Source organism: Homo sapiens, chromosome 6 (assembly GCF_000001405.40).
Source record: "Homo sapiens chromosome 6, GRCh38.p14 Primary Assembly".
NCBI classification, from domain to species: domain Eukaryota; kingdom Metazoa; phylum Chordata; class Mammalia; order Primates; family Hominidae; genus Homo; species Homo sapiens.
The window spans coordinates 136,284,309-136,308,512 of NC_000006.12; the positions used below are offsets into that span (position 1 = coordinate 136,284,309).

Below are 24,204 nucleotides of genomic sequence, written 5' to 3' on the forward strand. Positions count from 1 at the left end.
ATATTCAAGTATCCACACCAATAACTCAAATAATACACAAAATGTAACACACAATAAATAAGTCAGTATCAAAGACTGATTAGTTCAACTAATTTTTAAAAAATGAAAGTCTATATACAAAGCACAATGCTAATTACTATAGGAAATGTATCTATGTAAGTGGTCCCTGCCTTCCAAAAACCAAATCGAGAACAGTTATCAGCAACAAATCATAGTAAACTAAACATCTAAATACCAACCATGTGCCAAGAACTGTGCTAGGTGACTTAAAGTAAATAAAATAATGTCATATTTGATCCTGATAATCTCATGAGCTACATATTAATCCCATCTTTCAAATACAGAGAACCCTAAACTTTCCAGATAACTTGAGATAAGTGCCTTACATGCCAGGCACTACTATTCTAACGTTGGGAATACAGCATTTTAAGTTAAGACTTAAGCTCCCTACTCTCTTGAAGCTTTCAGAGAGGGGAAGACAGAAAACAAGGAAAAAATCAAATAGTGGCAAGTGCCACATTGGAGGGGGGGGAAAAGTACAAGTTAACATGCAGAGGAGGTGGGCAGGGGGACTACTTACTTAGGTGGATCCTTGGGCCCTCTTTAAGGAGGTAACATTTGGGCCTAAAGACAGGGAACACTGCAAAGATTCACAGAGGGAAGACCATACTAGGCAGAGGACACAAACTTAGCAAATTCAGGACAGAAAGACCAATAAGAAGGTTGAGACAACGTGATCAAGGAGTTGAGGGTATGAAATAGGGCAGCAGGAGGAGGAATGGACCAGATGAAATAGCATCTAGTAGATCATCAAAAGGGATCAGGATTTTACTCGGTTGAGAAACCCTTGCAGGGTTTTTGCTTGGGTGAGTCACTCATCTGATTTACATTTTAAGATGGCTGCTATATAAAAAATAAACAGCAATGAAAAAAAGAGGCAAATCCAAGATGTGGTTTGTCAAAATGACTTGTTAATGGATTGTTAGGGGTGTGAAGTACAGAGAGTGAGGAAAAATGAAAAATCACTAGTGCCCTTAAATTCTAGGTTTTAGATTCAAGCATCTGGGAGGACAAGTTTGGGGGAGAAAACAAAAGATGTGTTTGCCGTTTTTCGTGCCCACAGTCGGAGTGTAAATGGTTAATCCAAAATTTGACTGAAATCTCCTGACTCCAAATCCGGTGCTCTCTCTTCAATACCCTAAAAGGTGCTTGATGTTTCCAAAACCCAAATACAAAACTGAAAATGCCAAATTAATCTTCCCTTTATTACAACCAAGATCATTTGTTAATAGATTCCCACTTGTATACAGAAATAAGGAATAAATTGCCATATGTATCTTTAGCCAATTGACAGACCAACCAATGAGGAACACAGGATAAAATAAAGCAGGTTTTATTTTTAAAAATAAGGTTCTTAAATATCTAAACAGAGCCTATCTTTCATGAAATAATACATAATGACCAGCTAGAACATAAGTGATCAGAAACCAGCTAGAAAACAATTTATCAGGCCAGGAATGGTGGCTCACGCCTGTAATCCCAGCACTTTGGGAGGCCGAGGTGAGCGGATCCTGAGGTTAGGAGTTTGAGACCAGCCTGGCCAACATGGTGAAACCCCGTCTCTACTAAAAATACAAAAATCAGCCAGGCGTGGTGGTGCACGCCCATAGTCCCAAGGTACTCCAGAGGCTGAGGCAGGAGAATCACTTGAACCCAGGAGGCGGAGGTTGCAGTGAGCCAAGATTGCACCACTGCACTCCAGGCTGGGCAAGAGAGAGGCTGTCTCAAAAAAAGAAAAAAAATGATCAAGGTAACTGGGTTCAACAAAATACCCAAGACAAAGCCACCCAAAATGAATTCTTTAAGATTACTATTTCAAGCATACTTGATCCCAGTCTTCATTTTAGCAGGCTCAAGGAGTTTGGTCCCCAGATTGTTGTAAACAAAGTAATGCTATTTCCATCTTTTCAAATCCTAAAAATATAGCCCATGACTATTATTCCAGTAGTCTAGATTCAATTCCTGGCTCAGCCATTAACTAGCTGCCCAACACTGAACAAGTTACCTTCATCTGTCAGCTTCAAATTCTGCAGGTGTTTTTTTGTTGTTGTTGTTTTAAAGACTACTAATGGTACTTCCTTACAAGTACAGGGTTAAATGAACTAAGTAAGGCATGTAAACAGCTTAGTTTAATGTTTGGCCCGTGGTATACAATCTAGCATTAGCCATCATTATTGGTAACCCTTGTTTAGGCAGCCTTTCTGCAAGCTAACCACGTTTACTTAAAATGATTCTTGCATGTAAGGTTACCTAATATTTTTGATACAGCATTAATCAGCATCATTTAGAAGTCTTTCTAGACATGCTTAATAAAATGGGCTGGGTGCGGTGGCTTACACCTGTAATCCCAACACTTTGGGAGGGCGAGGCGGGCGGATCACCCGAGGTCAGGAGTTCGAGACCAGCCTGGCCAACATGCCAAAACCCCGTCTCTACTAAAAATATAAAAATTAGACGGGCGTGGTGGCAGGCGCCTGTAATCCCAGTTACTCTGGAGGCTGAGGCAGGAGAATCGCTTGAACCCATGAGGTGGAGGTTGCAGTGAGCCATGATCATGCCACTGCACTCCAGCCTGGGTGACAGAGCAAGACTCCATCTCAAAAACAGAAAAACTAGCCGGCCTTTGTGGTGTGCACCTGTAATCCCATGTAATCCCAGCTACTGGGGAGGCTGAAGCACAAGAATCACTTCAACCTGGGAGGCAGAGGTTGCAGTCAGCCAAGATCACGCCACTGCACACCAGCCTTGGCGACAGAGCAAGACTGTGTCTCAAGAAAAAAAAAAAAAATTAGCAGGACATGGTGGCGGGCCGGCGCCTGTAGTCCCAGCTACTTGGGAGGCTGAGATACGAGAATCGCTTGAACCAGGGAAGCGGAGGTTGCAGTGAGCCGAGATGGCGCCACTGCACTCCAGCCCGGGCTACAGAGCGAGTCTCTGTCTCAAAAAAATAAATAAATAAAATTAAAGTGTTTGAAAACTCTAAAATATTACACAAATATAATCTAGTATTATCTTCGTGTTAGTATATTCGTTGGTTTTCAGCCTTAGGGACAGTCAGATAAAATATTAAATGCTATGACTGAGGTAACACTTATTACCTGAGTATAAACAATTAACAAATTCATATCAAACAAGTACCCAGAGATTTTAGCTTCTTAATTCCCTCTTCTACTTATTTGGTAAATAACAAATCACTGTAAATTACACAGCTGAATTCAGCTAGTGTGCAACTACTGATTTCCAACGTAGTTTCCAGAAACTCCCAAACTAAGTCCTATGTAGAACTGATAAAACTTTTCTCCATTTCTAAGTCTTCTCATCACATAGTTAACCTCGTACAGCTTGCTGCCCACAAAAGTTGTTTAATAAATTCAACCGAGGCCAGGCGCAGGGGCTCATCCCTGTAATCCCAGCACTTTGGGTGGGCCAGGCGAGTGGATCACCTGAGGTCAGGAGTTCGAGACCAATATTGTGAAACTCCGTCTCTACTAAAAATACAAAAATTAGCCCGGTGTGGTGGCGGGCGCCTGTAGTCCCAGCTACTCGGGAGGCTGAGGCAGGAGAATCGCTTGGACCCGGAGACGGAGGCTGCAGTGAGCCGAGACTGGGCCACTGCACTCCTGCCTAGGCGACAGAGCGACATTCCGTCTCAAGAATCAGTCAATCAACCAGACCTGAGCCTACCAGTGAGTAGTACTTTTTACACGTCTGTCTTCAAGTCTTATACTACCACTGTTCCTCAAAGTCAAGAAGGGCTCTGGCTAAACAGCTTCCTTTGCCACCATTTTAATTATCTGAATTAAACAAGATATTTCAGTATTCACCACAATGTACTGGTTGAAACATGAAATCACTAAGAGAAGGTGCTCCAAGGTTGTTTACCATGAGCTACCTTTTTTAAGTGACAAGGTCTCGCTCTGTTGCCCCCGCTGGAGTGCAGTGGGACGAGCACAGCTCACAGCAGCCTCAAACTCCCGCCGAGGGGCCACTTTTTCCCTCCCATCAAATTACCTATCCTGAATTGGTCATGATCAAACAAAAATACAAAAGCCTTGTAGCAGTTTTTCCTACGTAAAGGTTATTTACTGCCTGAACAGTATCCTAACCATTCCAACTAAAGTCGAACTGAAATGAGAATTCACAAGAGGAACAAGAAATTTTGTTTTGCTTTGTAACACCAAAAAATTTAAAAGAGGCTGTTGCAGTGAGGTACAAGTCTGAAGTAGCTCATCTTTTTCGTCAGTGTTAGCCACACTTGCTTTCAACTTCAGTCTTAATTTGTTTCCAGTTCTAAAATGCTTTTTAAAAAAGTCTGAGGTAGCAAAGTAGCTGCTGGTACTTCAGCTTGATTCTGAAGAAATAAATCTTAAAAGCGAATCAAGCCAACTCATGAATTTAAAATGAAGGCAAAGTCCAATTCGCCACTCCCACCCATTTCTCACACCAGCTGTCCACCAATCGTGGCTGCAACATTTCTGACACGACTAAATGGGCTGAATCACTTGAAAAGACTCGGCTTCGCTAGTACTCATGAAGAACCGCACTTTCAGCCGGATGGGGCAGGGCCACGCTCAGAACCACCAGCTAAGACCCAATCCTCTCGCTAGGGAACCGTAACTAGGCAACCAGCACCAGTCAACAGCGCGCGCTCGCTTCAAAACAGCAGGTTGCCGCGGGTACCGAAATTAACTCCAGAGAACCAGGGTCAGCAGCGAGAGGCAGAACAGAGCACTAAAACCTAGTAGCATCACAAAAACGAGGCATTAACTGACGGGTGGTCTGAAGCCGGAGGGCAGTTTTAAAGACCACGCGAAAAGGGGTAGACCTACTCAACGCACTTTGCTGCGGGTCACAGTTATTTTCTCAAAACCCCACAGGCCACGAAGAAAGGTGGCAGTCCCAGCCAATGAGAGGCGGACACAAGTTGCACCTCCAGCGGCCGTCGGCGCCATAGGCGGGGGAGAGAAAAATGAACGAGCGCGCGTGCGCGGAGCGTTCAGTCGGGCGCGCGCAGAGGTACGGGCTGAAGAAATGGGGGAAGGGTGGAAGAGGAAGATATGCGCACGCGCACGGGAGGCCGCGCGGGCTGTGGGTCTCCAGGCAGGTTCGCAAACACGCGCGCGCCCGCCGTTAGCACTGCTCAGCGCCCCCGCCCGGCCTTTTCGGCCCGTAGTGCCTCGAAAACCTGAGAGAAGCTAACGAAAAAACGCATAAATAACGGCGCAACGTCTCCTTGGTTCTCCTTTCGCCGCCAACCCGACACCACCCACAAAAGAGTCAAAAATATGGCCTGTCCTCGGTCTTCACTGCCCCTGGAGTAACTTGAATACATTGCGAGGCCTACCTGACACGCCGAATCGCGGTTCCGGGAATTTATCTCCGTTGCAACCACACAGCGGCCATTTCCCGACTCAAGAACGCGAGGAAAACCATAGAGCTACCTTCGACGCGCTAGCACGTCTCCGTCACTTCCGATCTGGGGCGTGGCCTCGGGTGCCGCTAAATATGCGGGCAAGCCCCGCCCACCCTTCCGCTCCGGTCCGGCTTCCTGGCTGCTATTAAGATGTTGCCTGCGGCCTTCTGGGAAGTCGCGTGGCTGGTCTCGCGGGAAGATGTGACGGCTCCGCCCTCTGGCCCGTAGCGTCAGCCTTGGCCGGAGAGGCGGTAGAGTAGGGTGGGTGTTTTGTCAGGCCTGAGTTAGCTTCGCCATACGGCGCTTTTCGCTGGTGTCTCTGCCTCGTTCTGAGTAGACCCCCTAGACCTCACCGCCGCCCCTGCGTTTTACCTCAGTAAGCTCGTCTGGTCTGTTCTTTCTGTGGGGCCGGCTCAGACCAGGCAAAAAACAAAAAGACAATCCCACACTGAGGAAAAGACCAGGAGGCAAGACGTGGCTGTAATTGCAGACACGCTGCTCCCTCAGCCAGCAAGCGCCACTTTTCCTCTTGGACGCCTAACTGGAGATTAGAAAATGTGGCTTTTGGTTTGCTATTAAATTCGGCAGACGCACTTAGTTGAAAAATGGCCACGATCTAAATCCCTTTCGTGGCGTCTGATCAAATCGGAGCTCAAGCCGCAGCAGCCGGAAACCTCTTAGGCTGCTCGTGCCAAAGAAGGCCGCCCTTCTGGCGGCGTGATGACAGCTTTACCACATCGGCAACGTTGGCATAGGCATGAAAAAATAAAGAGCACGAAGCAGTTGAGCTTTCAGCCTGTGACGATGATTTGTGGCAGCCGAGGAACACAGCCCAACGTAGCTTGGTTGTCCAGAATTATAAGTCAGATTATAAATAGGCAAGCCACATTCGATTTGAATAGAATTTAAATAACAGCCGTAGCACATTTTGCATTAATACTTCTCCGGGCTGCACTTTCTTAGGGCCTAAAACCGCTATTGCTTTGATGTTTAGAGATGTTAACTACCTTGATGGATTTCAGACTTGTAATTAGCAACCAGGGTGTCAGTGAGTGAATCGAAACTAGGATTGGGCCCTGGTTGTGAATTTAACACTGTGCTTAGAGCATTCTTTCTTCACAGTCCAGTTTACCAGCTGAACTAGAAAAACGACAACATTTTCATGGAGTGAATCGTAGGTTTTTTATTGTACAGTCTGTCCCTCACCCCATTACCACCTCAGGATGTGGACACAGAAATCCTTGGCCTTTTTGTTGTGCCCTGATGTCCCAAGCATTCGCAGGTTCTCAGAAATATTTGTTGAGTGAATGAACTATATTTAAAAAAAAAACAACTAAGGGCTCAATACACGTCTGCTATTCTGCATGTATTGGGAGTCGGGGCGCTCCCAATACATGCTGTTATTCATTTATTCAAAATACCCCAAATTGCAGGCTAGGATATTATCTTCGACCTCCCTCTGCAATTCTATTGCACATGTGTTGAAAATGAAGTATCTATTTGAGGCAATATAACTGATTATGATTTTATTTACATAACATGAGGTAGTAACAAAGGAGATCCTTTGGAACAAAGCCTTTAGTAAGTGGAAGTTATACAGACTTCCCTTGAAATAGATCCATTTGATACGTGATGCTTTCCCAATCTACAAAGTAGGAGGTTCTTGAATTTAGATGTTTTATGCACATTCTTATTTTCAAAACCTGAAATTCCACCATTACAGATTCATTCTTTGTAATAAATTTTTTTCCTATTAAAATACAAACGCCGAAAAGAGCAGAGGAAAAAAGAGCCCATTTAACAAATGAGCATTGCAGAAAAATAGAACATTATCTCAAGAAGAAATACAAGTTGTAAACAAATGACCAAACTGCTAAAAAGGTACAAAGAGAATGCTGAGATAAATTAGTAAGCTGATTTTAATTTTAAAAAAAAAAAAAAAACAGAGTCTCGCTCTGTCGCCCAGGCTGGAGTGCAGTGGCGCGATCTCGGCTCACTGTAACCTCCGCACCCCCAGGTTCAAGCAAGTCTCCTGCCTCAGCCTCCCAGGTAGCTGGGGTTACAGGCTCCCGCCACCAAGCCTAGCTAATGTTTGTATTTTCAATAGAGACAGTGTTTCACCATGTTGGCCAGGCTCGTCCCAAAGTCCCGGCCTCAAGTGATGCGCCCGCCTCAGCCTCCCAAAGTGTTGGGATTACAGGCGTGAGCCACCGCGCCCGGCAAGGTAATTTTAATTTATGGTCATGGAGAAGTTATTGTTAATACGATTATAAAACTCTTTCTTGAAAGATATTGCTTCTGTTTTGGTTTGATTTTAATTTAAGATAATTGAAAAAGAGAAATGGGCCAGACGCTGTGGCTCACGCCTGTAGTCCCAGCACTTTGGGAAGCCGACACGGGCGGATCACTTGAGGTCTGGAGTTCGAGACCTGCCTGGCCAATATGGTGAAACTCCGTCTCTTCTAAAAATACAAAAATTAGCCGGGCTTGGTGGTGGGCACTTGTAGTCCCAGCTACTTAGGAGGCTGAGGCAGGAGAATCGCTTGGACCCGGCAGGTGGCGGTTGCAGTAAGCCGAGATCACACCACTGCACTCCAGCCTAGGCGACGGATCAAGACTGTATTTCAAAAAGAAAGAAAGAAAGAAAGAAAATGAAAAAAGAAATGGAGACAAGAAAAGGAAAAAGAGAAATGGAGAAGAATGGATATGTGAAAAGGACAAAGATAAGAAGATAGGAATGAGGATGGGGTTGGAAGTCTAGCAGGAAGGCAAGCTCCAAGACCTGACTGGTTTTGCTTGGTTTGTTTTGTTTATCTTTTTAGATGGAACATCTGAACTATTTCCGTATTTGGGGAAATTGAAGCTGAAGTGGTATTTGGAGTCTCACTCTTCCCACTCCCTGAAAATACTGGCATTGGGAACCCAACAGTAGTAGTGGGAAGCAGGCAGCAGAGGAAACGTGACCAACAGAGATTCCCTAACTAGAGTGCTGATGGGGCCGGACTTTGGCTGTAGTTCCTGCTGCATGGCCTCCATTTGTGCATATCCCTCTACAGGCTTTGTGCTAATTTCTTTTTTTAATTTTAAGTGATAAAATGTTCATTGATTCTTTGAGCTAGCTGGTATCCTTCCAGTAAATTTCTTTTCCTGATGAGTTAATCAGAATTGGTTTCTTTTGTTTGCTAAGAACCCTGAACTCCATGTCACAGTTTTGAGTAGAAGCAGGTCCTATTTATGAGGTCAGTTTTCCAAATGATCTGGCATTTTTTTAGATCTGTACCAGTGAAATAAATGGTTCCCCTTGTCTAGACTATTTCATTCCTACTGGTGAACAAATTGACTAGGATATTTTCCTTATTTTTCTATCCCCTTTTACATACTAAGAATGTAGAGTTATTTATTTTATTTAAAATATTTTAATTTTATTTTTTCAATTTTAATTATTTTGGTTTAAAATTACCAAAATTATTTAAGAATTATGTATTTACAGTGTTGTTCCTTAATATTCATCTCACCATTTTGAAAAAAAATTGAAATATCAAAATGAGCCAGGTATGGTGGCTCACACCTATAATCCCAGCACTTTGGGAGGCTGAGGTAGGAGGATCACTTGAGCCAAGAATTTGAGACCAACCTAGGCAATATGTGAGACCTTGTCTGTTCGAAAAATTTAAATATTTGGATTTTTTTGTTGTTGTTTTTTGGTTTTGGGTTTTTTTCTTTTTGAGACGGAGCCTTGCTCTGTTGCCCAGGCTGGAGTGCAGTGGCGGGATCTCGGCTCACTACAATCTCCGCCTCCCAGGTTCAAGCAGTTCTCTGCCTCAGCCTCCCAAGTAGCTGGGGTTACAGGCGTGCACCACCATGCCCAGCTAATTTTTGTATTTTTAGTAGAGACAGGGTTTTACCATCTTGGCCAGGCTGGTCTTGAACTCCTGACCTCGTGATCCACCTGCCTCGGCCTCCCAAAGTGCTGGGATTACAAGCGTGAGCCACCGCGCCCAGCCGAAAATTTTAAATATTAACCTAGTGTGGTGGTTCCCACTTGTAATCCCAGCTACTCAGGAGGCTGAGTTAGGAGGATTGCTTGAGCCTGGGAGGCGGAGGCCACAGTAAGCCAAGATTGTGCCACTGCACTCCTGCCTGGGCAACAGAGCGAGACTCTGTCTCAAACAAACAAACAGAAAAATATCAAAATGTGACTGTTAACTATTGTTTCTAAGTTCTATCAAGATTAATGCGCATCTTTCTCAGAAAGATGGAAAAAACAAATAGAACATTAAATTCTTTCAAAGTTTTCATAAGAAATCTTTGCCCAGAAATTATGCCAGCTTGCTGTTTAATGTAACTATTGAAGAACAAAGAGGGAACCCCCCCTAAAATGGGGCAACAGAATCATGATGGGATTCATACCCAGAAATCATTTCTTCCTTAGGAGAGGTTATAAGAGTTACAGAACAACTCCTTCTTTTAAAGCAGTTATCCAGTTGCCAACAAATATCTCTGTTTGCCCCCTGAAAAGTCTGAAAGCTCAGTTCTACCCAGACAATTTATCTCACAGAAGGCTAAAATCACCTAAGCAAAGGGCTGCAACCAATGATGATATTTAAAAGTAGTGAAATACAGAGCATAGAGTATTGCAGGTAGGAGTGAGATAGGCTGAAATTTCAGCCTCATTGCTTATTTTAAAAGAACTAAGAATTAAGCCTGGCCTGGAGAGGGAGTCACCGTTGATATTGACAAGCCCTAATGCCGGTTTTCTTAAAGTGTAAAACAGAAGCCAACTCATGAGAATAACCTAGGTTGTTTAAGAGAACTGAGTCTCATTACACATTTATTGAGGCAGAATCTGTGGGGGTAAGGATACACACTAAAGTTTTAGAACCACTGATTTATTGAAGACCTGTCATATTCTAGATATTACAGACCAGACCAAGGGTCTCCAACTCCCAGACCAGTCCACACAGAAGGAGGTGAACATCAGTCCAGCGAAGCTTCATGTATATTTACAGCCACTCCCCATCACTTGCATTACCATCTGAGCTCTTCCTCCTGTCACATCAGTGGTGGCCTTAGACTCATAGGAGCGTGAACCCTATTGTGAACTGCGAGTGCAAGGGATCTAGGTTGCAGGCTGCTTGTGAGAATCTAAGGTCTGATGATCTGTCACTGTCTCCCATCATGCCAACATGTGATCATCTAGTTGCAGGAAAACAAGCTCAGGGCTCCCATTGATTCTACATTATGGTGAGTTGTATAATTATTTCATTATATATTACAACATAATAATAGTAGAAATAAAATGCACAATAAATGTAATGCACTTAAATCATCCTAAAACCATCCTACCGCCCTCAGTCTATGAAAAAATTGTCTTCCACAAAACCGGTCCCTGGTTCCAAAAAGGTTGGAGACCACTGTTACAGACTACAAAGCAGTATGAGACATCGTTGCTGCTTCTCTGTTGTAACTCAAAATCCAGCAGAGAGAGGGTGTAACTCTCACATCAGATCTACATGGGAGCAAGTGCCTATGGTGAAAGAGGGAAAGAACTAGCATTTTAAAAATGAGTGGGATTTCACCCGTCATTTATTCATTTGTTTATTTAGTCAGCAAATATGCCTGAAGCATGTGCCATTTGTAGGTACTGAGCCAGGTGCTCAGGATGGAGCAGTGATGAAGCCTAACGCTGACACTGCTCCCAGGTAGACTGCCTCTCTGTGAGGGAGACAGAACACACGTAAGCAGACACAAATTGTACTATCAATCAGGACGTGATAGAAAATCAAAGAAGGAGACCTTATTTATCTATTTATTTATTTAACTTTTAAGTTCAGGAGTACAAGTGCAGATTTGTTACGCAGGTAAACTTGCATCCTGGGGGGTTGTTGTAAAGGTTATTTCATCACCAAGGTATTAAGCCTAGTACCCATTAGTTGTTTTTACTCATCCTCTTCCTCCTCCCACCCTCACCTTCCTAAAGGCCCTAGCATGTGTTCTTCCCCTCAGCGTGTCCATGTATGTGTTCTCATCATTTAGCTCCCACTTATAAGTGAGAACATGTATTTGGTTTACTGTTGCTGTGTTAGTTTGCTAGGGATAATGGCCTCCAGCTCCATCCCTGTTCCTGTAAAAGACATGATCTCATTATTTTTTTATGGCTGCATAGTATTCTGTGGTGTATATGTACCACATTTTCTTTATCCAGTTCATCACTGATGGACATTTAGGTTGATTCCATGTCTTTGCTACTGTGACTAGTGCTGCAATGAACATATGTGTGCATGTTCTCTTTATAATAGAACAATTTGTATTTATTTGGGTATATACCCAGTAATGGCATTGCTGGGTCAAATATTTCTTTTTTTTTTTTTCTTTTTTATATTCGAGATGGAGTCTCGCTCTGTTGCCCAGGCTGGAGTGCAGTGGCGCGATCTCGGCTCACTGCAATCTCTGCCTCCCAGGTTCAAATGATTCTCCTGCCTCAGCCTCCTGAGTAGCTGGGACTATAGGTGCGCACCACCACGCCTGGCTAATTTTTGTATTTTTAGTAGAGATGGGGTTTCACCATATTGGTCTTGAACTCCTGACCTCATGATCCACCCACCTCGGCCTCCCAGAGTGCTGGGATTACAGGTGTGAACCACTGTGCCCTGCCTGGGTCAAATATTTCTGTTTTTAGATCTTTGAGGAATCACCACACTGCCTTCCACAATGGCTGAACTAATTTACACTCTCACCAACAGTATATCGAATTTCTTTTTCTTCACAACCTCGCCAGCATCTGGTATTTTTTTGACTTTTTAAGAGTAGCCATTCTGACTGGTATGAGATGATATCTCATTGTGGTTTTTATTTGCTTTTCTCTAATGATCCGTGATTTTTTTTTTCTGTTTTTTTGTTTTTTTGGTTTTTTTGAGACAGAGTCTCCCACTATCGCCAGGCTGGAGTGCAGTGGCACGATCTCAGCTCACTGCAACCTCCGCTTCCCGGGTTCAAGCGATTCTCCTGCCTCAGCCCCCCGAGTAGCTGAGACTACAGGCGCGCACCACCACGCCCGGCTAATTTTTGTATTTTTAGTAGAGACTGGGTTTCCCCATGTTAGCCAGGATGGTCTTGACCTCTTGATCCACCCGCCTCGGCCTCCCAAAGTGCTGGGATTACAGGTGTGAGCCACAGCGCCCGGCCTGATACCATTATAATAATTGGAAAGATTAGAGAGAATGATAGGGAAGGGAAGAATGAAACAGATTGGGAAAAGGGAAGGAAATCAGGAATTCCATTTTGAATATATTAGGCTTGATATGTGTGTGAAACTTTTAAGTACAGAGGCAAGGTATGAAGTTAAATGTGTGCATCCGTGGTTCAGAGGTGAGTTCTAGCCAAGAGATAAAGCAAAAAGATTATATTTAGAATTATTGGATGAGGCTTGGCGCATTGGCTCACACCTGTAATCCCAACAATTTGGGATGCCAAGGCAGGAGAATGGCTTGAGCCTAGGACTTCAAGACCAGCCTGGGCAACATAGGGAGACCCCGTCTCTATTAAAAGTTTAAAAATTGGTTGGGTGTGGTGGTGCACAACTGTAGTCCCATCTACTTGGAAGGCTGAGGCAGGAGGATTTCTAGAGCCCAGGATGTTGAGACTGCAGTGAGCCATGATTGCACCACTGCACTCCAGCATGGGTGACAGAGCGAGACCCTTTCTAAAAAAAAATAAAATAAAATAAGATAAAATCACAGGATGAGAAATATAGGGAGACAAGAGAAGACAGCCTAGGAGTGAACCCTAAAGAATCCCAACATTTAGAGATTTGTTAAAAGAGGAGGCGGAGCCAATAAAGGAGACTGAGAACAGCCTATGAAGTAGGAAATAAGTGAAATCAAATGTATTGGTTGTCTACTGCTGCGTAATGAATGACCCCAAATTTACCAGCTTAATGTTTACTATCTCACAGCTCCTGTGGATCAGAAATCTGAGAGTGATTATTTGGGTGGTTCTGGCTTAGGGTCCCTTGAAGTTGCACTCCAGCCTGGGTGACATAGGGAGACTATCTCTAAAAATAAATAAATAAGTCATTTTAAAAATCTCATTTAAAAATTTATCTATCTATGTAGAAACAGAAGAATCAACCTCAAAATGATACTGTTCTGTGTATATATTGAATGGCCACATCACTGGCAATTTTTAAAACATTTTCTTCCTTTGCTCTTCTGTATTTTCTAAAATTTCTACAATAAAAATTACTTTCATAATATTAATATCAAAAAACTTTTAAAAATGTAGACCATTGAATTTTATTTGAATTGTGTAAGATAATGAAGACCTAAAAACTGAGAGGTCTTGTTTTTGTTTTTTGAGACAGAGTCTCGCTCTGTTGCCCAGGCTGGAGTGCAGTGGCACGATCTCAGCTCACTGCAACCTCCACCTCCCAGGTTCAAGCAATTCTCCTGCCTCTGCCCCCCAAGTAGCTGGAATTACAGGCATGCACCACCACGCCTGGCAAATTTTTGTATTTTTAGTAGAGACGGGGTTTCACCATGTTGGCCGGGCTGTTCTCAAATTCCTGACCTCAGGTGATTTGCCAACCTCGGCCTCCCAAAGTGCTGGGATTACAAGCGTGAGCCACCTCGCCCAGCAAGTTTGTGTGTGTGTGTGTGTGTGTGTGTGTGTGTGTGTGGTTCTTCCAAATCAAGCGTAAAAGCTCTCATTTAATAAACAAGAAGAATAAGGATGGGTATGGTGTCTCATGCCTGTAATCCCATCACTTTAGGAAGCCGAAGAGGGAGGATTACTTACACCCAGAATTTGAACTGTGTGAGCCACTGTACTCCAACCTGGGTGACAGAGAGAGAACCTACCTCTAAAAAATACAAACATACATATATACATAATAAAATATCCATTACTAAATCACAATCTTGATAAGCCTAATTATAAACTGCTGCTAGGAGAATATTTGCTTCCAGAGAGAATCTTTTAGATTTGTTTTTGTGGGATTTTGGGGTTTTTTTTTCCTAGAGTGCTCTATAGTCCTCTTTTAGCTTCATGAATCTTCTGTCGAGCAATGAAGGGGAGTACTTGGTTCAACAAGAGAAAAACATATATAAAATTGTTTGCTTCCATTTAAAAGGAAACTTTACACTGAATTCCAACCAACTGTGATAGATAGATCTAAAAATGGCTTAATCCTTTGCAAGACAGTTATTTTTCAAAGTTCTATTTGTCATATTAGGGTCTGGCTAATTATGTTAAAAGCACCACTGGCTGATTTCTTAAGTTCCATTTTAGAGAGTATAGTGAAAGCACAGACCTGACTTTGTGTTTCTAGTATTTGTGCCATTATTTTTTAATCTACATTATTAAGCTTAACTTTGTACTGTAATGAGGTTAATTTCTACCCACACAAGCCCATCCAGTAGCTTTTCCTAAACACATTCATTCTTTGTTATATATTCCAGGGAGATATTTCTGTCAATGGCATGTGAGATGATCTATTCACTCCATGATGAGATGCTTACTGTTTGAAAACAAATTCATTCACATGCTTAAAAATTGCTCAGGAGCAGGAACTATACAAATATTTATTGTTATTGGCCATTTATAATTTATTCATAGTGATCCAGCTGACAACCATCTGGTGCATAAAACTGAAAATTGGAAGAAAAAAAGAGTAAAAGTCCCTGGAAAAATATAATTTAGTCTCCATATGTCTTTGATACATATTCAATACAATTTATTACTTGCTAGTGGTATGAGATGCTCTATAATAATAGATACATATATGAAATTTAACACAAAGGGAAATTGACATTTTACTCAAAAATGTATGTTGAAGGACAAAGTGAAGACAGTAGTAATAATACAGTAATTAGCAAATGTACATTGGCAAAGATAGTATAAACTAGGCTGTGGTAACAAATAGACTCCGGAATACATAATGACTTACATGCAATAGAAGCTTTTTCTCAAACAGTCCAAGACAGTTGAATTAGGTTGGTAAGTATTTTCTCCATGCAGTGATTCAGGGCCCTAAGCCATCTTGTGACTCCATGGATAGAACTCAGGGGTCTACCAATTCCCAAAGAATCCGTGGATAGAATTCAGACCTGTCACTATAATTTGTTGTTGTTGTTGTTGTTGTTTTTAATTCAATAGTTTTTTGGGTACCGGTGGTTTTTGGTTACATGGATGAATTCTTCAATGGTGAATTCTGAGATTTTAGTGCACCCATCACCCAAGCAGTGTACACTGTACCCAGTATGTAGTCTTGTATCCCTCACACCTCTCCCAACCTCCCAGAGATGTCGCTATATTTGTATGGGAAAAATTACATCCCTGTTGGGGCCGGGCGTGGTGGCTCACGCCTGCAATCCCCGCACTTTGGCAGGACAAGGCGGGCGGATTACCTGAGGTCAGGAATTTGAGACCAGCCTGGTCAACATGGTGAAACTCCATCTCTACTAAAAATATTTAAAAAATAGCCAGAAATGGTGGCAGGCACCTGTAATCCCAACTACTCGGGAGGCTGAGGCAGGAGAATCACTTGAACCCAGGAGGCAGAGGTTGCAGTGAGCCGAGATCGTGCCACTGCACGCCAGCCTGGGCAACAGAAAGAGACTCTGTCTCAAAAAAAAAAAAATAAATAAAAATTACATCCTTGTTAACTTCAAACTGAAATTTATCATTTCCCTTAATTATGAATGTAGGCAAAACCACAGAAGTATTACCAGTACTTATGACTTTGTAATAAATAAAAATCACCGATTTTTAAAAAATCATTACTGTTAGGCCAGGCATGGTGGCTCATGCCTGTAATCCCAGCACTTTGGGAGGCCAAGGCGGGCAGATCACAAGGTGAGGAGTTGGAAACCAGCCTGGCCAATATGGTGAAATCCTGTCTCTACTAAAAATACAAAAATTAGCCAGATGTGGTGGCGCATGCCTGTAGTCCCAGCTACTCGGGAGGCTGAGGCAGAAGAACCACTTGAACCCGGGAGGCAGAGTTTGCAGTGAGCTGAGATGGCACCACCGCACTCCAGCCTGGGCAACAGAGCCACAGCGAGACTCCGTTGCAGAAAAAAAAAAAATTGTTTTGTAGATCTTTCAAAGAGTTGTTTCTACTTGGAATGCTTTCAAAATTATAGTAGTTGTATACCCGCCTCTAGATCCTCTACTTTAATGTATTTTTTAAAAAGCATATTATCTTAACCTTTACGGTAGCTCCCAGTGATCCTGGTTTCCTGGCATTCGTACCCTTGTGTAATCCCCTTCCAGTAACAGAATATGGCAGAAATGATGGGATGTCATTTCTGAGATTAAGTGTACTGAATCTATGTTCTGTACCCTCTCTTCGAGCACTTGCTACAGGGGAAGTGAACTGCTATGTCCTGAGATAACTGAGAGGTTGTGGAGAGTGACTCCATGAGTCTGTGGAGAGGTCAATATGACAAAGAACTGAAGCTTGCCAATAGCCATTTGAGTGAGCTTGGAAGTGGACCTTTCCCCAGGTAATGCCTCCAGATGACTGCCTATTTAGTTGGCATCTTGATTGTAGCCTTGTGAGATACCCTGAGCCGCAACCACCCAGCTAAGCTGGTCTCAGATTCCTGACCCCCAGGAATGTGAGAGAATAAATGTTTTAAGCTACTAAGGTTGGAGAGAATTTATTATATATCAATAGAGAGCTAATGTATACATATATCATTGTATCACTAACTTACTTTTTTTTTTTTTTTTTTTTTTTTTGAGAGAGTGTGGCTCTTGTTGCCCAGGCTGGAGTGCAATAGTACAATCTTGGCTCACTGCAGCCTTTGCCTCCCAGGTTCAAGTGATTCTCCCTACCTCAGCCTCCTGAGTAGCTAGGATTACAGGCGCCCGCCACCACACCCAGCTAATGTTTTTTGTATTTTTAGTAGGGACGAGGTTTCGCCATGTTGGCCAAGCTGGTCCCAAACTCCTGACCTCAGGTGATCCACCCACCTTGGCCTCCCAATGTGCTGGGATTACAGGCATGAGCCACCGCGCCCAGCCTGTATCACTAACTTTCTAAATGTTTTTATAATTGTATTCATTATAATTTGTTTCCTTTATAAATCTATTATTTTGTTTTATGCATTTTAAAACATTATTTTGCCAGGCATGGTGGCTTGTGCCTCTAATCCCAACCATGCAGGAGGCGGAGGCAGGAGGATTACTTGAGACCAGGAGTTTGAGACCAGCCTGAGAAACACAGTGAGACTCTGTCTGTAAAACAATAAAAATTAAAATTTAAAAAATAATAAATAAAATGTTATTCTGAGAAGGGATGCAGAGCATTCTTCAGTGTGCCAAACAATCCATGCATGGTACAAATAAGATTAACCCTTTCTGGCCAGGTGCGGTGGCTCACGCATATAATCCAGCACTTTGGGAGGCCGAGGTGGGCGGATCACAAGGTCAGGAGTTCGAGACCAGCCTGGCCAATATGGTGAAACCCCATCTCTACTAAAAATACAAAAGTTAGTCGGGCGTGGTGGCATGCACCTATAGTCCCAGCTACTCGGGAGGCTGAGGCAGAAGAATCGCTTGAACTCGGGAGGTGGAGGTTGCAGTGAGCTGAGATCGTACCAGTGCACTCCAGCCTGGGCGACAGAGTGAGATTCCATCTCAAAAAAAAAAAAAAAAAAAAAAAAAGATTAACCCTTCCTGTGGCCTCATTGTTGCCTTGTACTAGCTGGCAAAAGGAGGACAGATCAGGGAGGAGACATACCTCTTTTTAATATCCTTAACCTAGGAGTAGCAGACATTTCTAATCACATTTATTGCAATAAACATGGACACATCTTGATGCAATAGACACTGGCAAATGGTCCTGGGTAAACTGTCATTTGCTCTATATGGCGCAAGGACCTATTTTGATAGTACCAGAGCAAATGCCCAAAATGTTAATAAAGCAATGAAAATAATATCTGCCAGAATAGAATCTTAGGGTTTTTTGAAAAATAAACACAAGGAATCAAATTAAAGAAACAGATGGTGATGACATAAAAAATTTTGTGAACTTTTATTCCAAATGATATTTGTAGATCTGAAGATGTAAAGAACTGATTTGGATTTAGACTCCAGATCAGAAATATCAGAAATCAAATTATTCTTCAGTCTTCCTTAAGAATGAATAAATTTTGTAAGATTATGAACATAAAGTCTTAATTTTCCTGAAGTCACAGAACAAATAATAGGATAGTATCCTTGTTGTTTTATTCAGTAAACATTTGCTGAGGGTCTACTGTGTAACAGGGACTGTACTAAGTACTGGGGAAAAAGAGACTGCCAAAAATATGACAAGACCCCTGCAATGGACTGAATGTTTGTGTTGCCCCCAAAATTCCTATGTTGAGAACCTAATCTCAATGCGATGGTATTTGGAGGCAGGGCCTCTGGGTAGTAATTAGGACATAAGGGTGGGGCACTCATAAATGTATTAGTGCCCTTATAAGAAAAGCCCAGAGAACTACCTAGCTTTTGGTAGAATTATTGAAAATGCACTGTGATGGTTAATGAGTGTCAACTTCATTGGATTAAAGGATGTAAAGTATTGTTCCTGGGTGTGTCTATGAGGGTGTTGCCAAGGGATATTAACATTTGAGTCAGGGGACTGGGAGAGGCAGACCCACCCTCAAACTGCATGGACACCATCTGAGCAGCTGCCAACCAGGCTAGAAAAAGCAGGCAGAAGAAGGTGGAAGGAGACGTCTTGCTGAGTCTTCGGGCCTTCATCTTTCTCCCGTGCTGGATGCTTCCTGCCCTCAAACATCATACTACAAGTTCTTCAGCTTTTGGACTCTTGGACTTACACCAGTGGTGTGCCAGGGGCTCTTGGGCTTTCAGCCACAGACTGAAGGCTGTACTGTCAGCTTCCCTGCTTTTAAGGTTTTGGGACTCAGACCAGCTTCCTTGTTCCTCAGCTTGCAGATGGCCTATTGTGGGACTTCCTCTTGTGATCCTGTGAGTCAATTCTCCTTAATAAATTCCCCTTCATATATACATCTATCCTATTAGTTCTGTCCCGCTAGAGAACACTGCAGAAAACACTGCATTTATGAAACCACATAAATGGTGTTGTGTGAAAAAATTAGTTATCTTGATGACTAATGACTCCTGGAGAAAAATCAAGACACAGATAAGTTGGGCTGCCAATAGCTCATCAGATGTCTTTGAGAAGATGAGGCAAAACTACCCTTCCTTGGACTTTCTGCCACTTGAGGATACAAGGAGAAGTTGTCAGCCTGCAACCCAGAAGACCCTCACCAGAACTGGACTATGGTGGCACTCGATGTCAACTTTCCAGCCTCCAGAACAGTGAGAAATGTTTATTTTGTTTGTAAGCCACCCAGCCTATGGCAATTCATTCTATCAACCTGAACTGACAGTCAGCCTGTTTCCAGAGATCTTATATTGAGGGAAATGGCTCAGCAAAGTAAATCCGTACAGTAATATTTACTAAGTTCTGTGACATACATAAACAGAATGCTAAAAGCAATGTGCTAACAGCAAAATCATTCACAGTTTTTTAATTTCAACATAATTGGACTAAAAATATTAAATTAAATTGGAATGTCAGGCTTCAGTTGTTAAATAGGGTAAGATTCCTATGGGGATAATTTTTTATGCCCTCCCAGGACCCTGAATCTACAAAGTAAAGCTGTCCCCCAATGTTCACAGAAAGTTTTCAGAAAAGATCTTAGGCCTCTGCTCATGGGGAATGACAAGAAAGACTTGAAAATCCACAGTGTGGTTCCATAAATGCAATGTCATGTGAAAAAACTAGTTATCCTCTGCTCCTTCCAATGTTCACAGGCTGACTCATGACTGATGACTCCAGGGAAAAATCAAGACACAGGTAAGTTGAGCTGCCAATAGCTCATCAGATGTCTTTGAGAAGATGAGACAAACTTACCCTTTCCTCAGGCTGAGGCATCCCCACGCTTAGGCTTGTGGCTCGAAGAGCAGGCGAGCAGAGTGCAGGCTGGAGCTCGGCCCTATTTGAGCCTTTGGCTATACATTCTGGCACAATAGAGGCCCTGCCAGAAGCTCCTTGGCAAAGTAACACCTCTCCCAACTGCACCCTTCTTTCTGAACACCTATTACTTTGTTATTCAGCCCTCAACAACTTGGGGTTCCTGGGACTATGTCATTCTTCCTGCTTAGTTGACAGTGTTATACAAGATTATATTCATTTTCATAATGTTGAATATTCATTCTTCAATCAACAAATATTTATTGAAGAATAAATGAGGTATTTGAAGAAATGAAGTATTATACACTTATGACAGATAAATAATAGAAAATTATCTCGTTGAAACCCAGGCTCACATCAAGTAACTGGTATAATCTGTATTTCATTGAAACATCACTCTTTGTCATTGCATATTTCAGGAAAAATAAGGGACTAAGCAAATGAATTTCCCAGTTCTATTTAAGGAAATATTTGATTTTCAAGAGGTGGTCTTCAAAAAGATCTGATTGCCTCTCAGGAAAGATACTAATGCTGGCATTCTGCCCAAGTGATTGTATTTGCCTCTGTGATATATGTGTATATATGTATATTTGATAATGTGTATCCTCCCTTCACTAAACGGTTTATAACAGTGGTACTCAAGCCTGTTGTTTTAACATACTGATGAGTTGTACAGCATTTTCAAAGTGACTTACTACCAAGAGGCTGAACTGAGATAGTCCTTCTTCCTTCTTCCAGGAGAGGAAGGGTATTCCCGTTCATCCCAGTAATGCTAATCGAGGAAATGGTCCTCGAGGAAATGACGCTGCAGCAACAGCATCACCTGGGGACTTGTTAGCAACAGAAGTTCTCAGACTCCGCCATAGAACTACTGAATCAGAAATTCTGGAATAAGGCCCAGCATTCCATGTTCTAACAAACCTTCCAGGTGACTGTAATGTACATTCAAGTTTAAGAACCACTGTAATAGACCCATTTCTTGGTTGATTAAATGGATCTTATATTGTAAATAAGCAGAATAGTCAAATGTTCCTTCACACAATAGGCTAGGGCTGCTATTTGACAGGATCATGGTCGTTTTAACAGGAGGAATATGATGAATCTGAAAAATGGAAACAATATTTGCAATGGCAGTTGTGTGTCCCTATGCAACATGAGGTGGGGAGGCCTTGAGGATTCCACTGATGGAAAGAATTGAGCTGAAATCTGAGCACCTGCCATCCTCTTCCTCCTCTCCCCTCCCAACATCTGCATGGAACCACAGCCCTCCCCTCTTTCCTTTGGAGCCAGTGAAGCATGGAAAGGGGAAAGTCATTCCCAGCATCCACCAAGGTTTAGAGGTAGTGTCATAAGCAAACATCTATACCAGCAAGTTCTCCAGTAAGGAGGGGCAGAGGCAGCGTGTGGGCCACACACTGAGTTTGAAAAGTAGCAGAGTTTGAAAAGGAGTTAAGGAGTTATGGGCAAGAGATTAGGTGGCCAGTGGGAGGAGATTGAGAATAAAGCAAACCAGAAACCCTCAAAGACCTGAGGCATGTGGCTTGAAGAGCAGGTGAGAAGTTTTTGCCTGCCCATGCAGTTAAATGTCGCAAATCCCAGTTCATTCTAATTGATGCAGCTTTAGGAATGATTTTACAGTAAAAACCCACTGCTTAGAATGTCATTTTAGTTCATTCTGGGAAGACAGGTGAAGTGGCACTCCATCCTGGAAAGACAGCTCTGCTTTCTGATCAGGTAGGACTTTCTCACTCTCTCTCACACTTCAAGTTGAAAATTCAACAGCCAACTAAACCAAACAGCCCGCAGACAGTTGCCTCTGACTGACCATTGTCAACAGCAATGTCTCTTTGTTCTCTGTGAAGTAAGTGGAATAAATGGAGCACTGCCTTAATGCCCTTGCCAACTGAGTACTCAATAGTTCTGTTGTTTAAGGGCTCAACCCCTCCCACTACCCAGAGAATAATGTGCTCTGAAATCTAGTGACAACCCAAGGTAGACTGGGCACTCTGGAAAGGAGGCATGGCCTGCTTGTTATAATGCTTGTGATATCAGACATTTTTAGAACTAGAATGAAGTGAAGGATATTGAAAATTCCAAAAAAGGCAAGGCACAGTGGCTCATACCTGTAATCCCAGTACTTTGAGAGGCCGAGGAGGGCAGATCACCGGAGGTTGGGAGTTCCAGACCAGTCTGGCCAGCATGGTGAAACCCCATCTTTACTAAAAATAGAAAAATTATCTGGGTATGGTGGTGCATGCCCGTAATCCCAGCTACTTGGGAGGCTGAGGCAAGAGACTCGCTTGAACCTGGGAGGCAGAGGTTGCAGTAAGCCAAGATCATGCCGCTGTACTCCATCCTGGGCAACAGAGCAAGACTCCGTCTCAAAAAGGAAACAAAAAATTAGCAGTGCATGGTGGTGCATGTCTGTAATCCTAGCTACTCGGGAGGCTGAGGCAGGAAAATTGCTTGAACCCAGGAGGTGGAGGTTGCAGTGAGCCAAGATCGTGCCACTGCACTCCAGCCTGGGTGACAGAGCAAGACTCCATCCCAAAAAAAAAGAAAATTCCAAAAAAAGTAATATTCACATATAAGGTTAAGTCTAGGCTAAATGTTGCCTTAAACCAGGGGTGGGCAAACTATAGCCCAGGAGCCAAATTTAGCCTGCAGCCTGTTTTTGTAAATAAAGTTTTATTGGAACACAGCCAAGCTCATTCATTTAGGTATAGCACATGTCTACTTTTGTCATACAACAGCAGAATTGAATAACTGTAATAGAGAACAGATGGCCTGCAAAAGCCTGATATGTTTACTATCTGGCCTTTTGCAGAAAGAATATGCTGGCCCTGCCTTACACTCAACTGTAACCTTTGGGGCTTGGAAGTCACCACAGGCCCTCCATTTTTAGGGCTGTTTGGTCAATGCAAGGACCTTAGTTATGTGAGCTACTGTTACCCACTAGTAAATGCCCCAATTTTTATCAGAATGAAGTAGAATATCTACCTCTCCTTGCCTATTTTGCTTTTTACTTCAAAACTACGTTTAACATTCACTTTCCCAAAATGATGAGAAATTTTGATTATCCCAGTTCTATTTAAAGAAACATTTGATTTTTAAGGTGCCTCTTTGCCTTTTTTCAACAATGGCCCCGCCTTCTGCTTGGCACCTTCAGTTGACGGTTTCTTACTACTTCATACTAGGTGCTCATTTGTTGTCCATCTCCGAGTGACTTTCCCATTTTCCTCATTCTCAGCCACTGACAGTCAACATATTTTTAAAAGCAGTGGCCTGTGGCACTAACGAGCCACAGTAAAGATCTGCAAGTCCCCTCTGCCCCCACTCCCCGCTTTGAAATCAAGTCTGGTAGGTCAGCCCACTTCTTACATTTCACATACACAGATGCAGGACTTCATACACAGGTACTCTTACAAACACACATTGACACATAGTCTTTGAGACTAAACTTTCATTCAGTGATGTCTGTTTTACTGCTCCATATATCTTAGGGCTTGAATTCTTCCTAAGTGGAAAATGCTAGGAGCTCCAAAAACTTGGCATATTCTGAAAACGTGTATTGCAGCCATTTGTTTTCTACTATTATGGTGGATTTGTGGGCCAGCAGCATAAGTAGGTAGGCTTCACATTAGTTTTTGATGTTAAAACTATGTAGATAGATATTCAAAATACTTGATAAATAATTTTTAAGAGTGCAGACCAGCTGGGCACGGTGGCTCATGCC

The 24,204-nt window shown here is 42.7% G+C and overlaps 1 protein-coding gene and 1 long non-coding RNA gene across 26 annotated transcripts in view, besides 8 other annotated features; one reads left to right on the forward strand and one right to left on the reverse strand.

Annotated features, from left to right (window-relative positions):
• The window catches only part of BCLAF1 (BCL2 associated transcription factor 1), a 33,220-nt gene extending 27,682 nt beyond the window's left edge, over positions 1-5,538 (reverse strand). For all 24 annotated transcript variants that reach the window (NR_170166.1, NR_170168.1, NR_170170.1 and 21 more), the window contains exon 1: positions 5,405-5,538. The gene's annotated coding sequence lies outside the window, so the exon portion shown is untranslated. The remainder of the gene's footprint in view (positions 1-5,404) is intronic.
• Positions 4,332-4,928: an enhancer, noted in NCBI's record as "NANOG-H3K27ac-H3K4me1 hESC enhancer chr6:136609778-136610374 (GRCh37/hg19 assembly coordinates)". NCBI's record gives its function as "activates a minimal SCP1, AML or CMV promoter by ChIP-STARR-seq in primed H9 embryonic stem cells {active_cell/tissue: H9 hESC(primed)}" and the evidence as "EXISTENCE:reporter gene assay evidence [ECO:0000049][PMID:30033119]".
• Positions 4,454-4,573: an enhancer, noted in NCBI's record as "active region_25111". NCBI's record gives its function as "activates an Ori minimal core promoter by ATAC-STARR-seq in GM12878 lymphoblastoid cells {active_cell/tissue: GM12878}" and the evidence as "EXISTENCE:reporter gene assay evidence [ECO:0000049][PMID:35858748]".
• Positions 4,929-5,525: an enhancer, noted in NCBI's record as "NANOG-H3K27ac-H3K4me1 hESC enhancer chr6:136610375-136610971 (GRCh37/hg19 assembly coordinates)". NCBI's record gives its function as "activates a minimal SCP1, AML or CMV promoter by ChIP-STARR-seq in primed H9 embryonic stem cells {active_cell/tissue: H9 hESC(primed)}" and the evidence as "EXISTENCE:reporter gene assay evidence [ECO:0000049][PMID:30033119]".
• Positions 4,929-6,233: a biological region, named in NCBI's record as "BRD4-independent group 4 enhancer GRCh37_chr6:136610456-136611655".
• Positions 4,944-5,063: an enhancer, noted in NCBI's record as "active region_25112". NCBI's record gives its function as "activates an Ori minimal core promoter by ATAC-STARR-seq in GM12878 lymphoblastoid cells {active_cell/tissue: GM12878}" and the evidence as "EXISTENCE:reporter gene assay evidence [ECO:0000049][PMID:35858748]".
• Positions 5,010-6,209: an enhancer, noted in NCBI's record as "BRD4-independent group 4 enhancer chr6:136610456-136611655 (GRCh37/hg19 assembly coordinates)". NCBI's record gives its function as "activates an origin of replication core promoter dependent on BRD2, P300/CBP, MED14 and CDK7 cofactors, and independent of BRD4, by STARR-seq in HCT116 cells {active_cell/tissue: HCT116}" and the evidence as "EXISTENCE:reporter gene assay evidence [ECO:0000049][PMID:35650434]".
• Positions 5,574-5,793: an enhancer, noted in NCBI's record as "active region_25113". NCBI's record gives its function as "activates an Ori minimal core promoter by ATAC-STARR-seq in GM12878 lymphoblastoid cells {active_cell/tissue: GM12878}" and the evidence as "EXISTENCE:reporter gene assay evidence [ECO:0000049][PMID:35858748]".
• Positions 5,706-21,766, forward strand: LOC124901408 (uncharacterized). Of its 2 annotated transcripts, XR_007059784.1 has the most exons (4): positions 5,706-5,849; positions 10,388-10,717; positions 16,829-16,980; positions 21,207-21,766. It is a non-coding gene; the product is annotated as an uncharacterized LOC124901408 (long non-coding RNA). The 2 variants fall into 2 exon arrangements; XR_007059785.1 differs by lacking the exons at positions 10,388-10,717; positions 16,829-16,980; positions 21,207-21,766 and adding an exon at positions 8,296-8,632.
• Positions 6,114-6,233: an enhancer, noted in NCBI's record as "active region_25114". NCBI's record gives its function as "activates an Ori minimal core promoter by ATAC-STARR-seq in GM12878 lymphoblastoid cells {active_cell/tissue: GM12878}" and the evidence as "EXISTENCE:reporter gene assay evidence [ECO:0000049][PMID:35858748]".
• Positions 21,767-24,204: the final 2,438 nt, after the last annotated feature.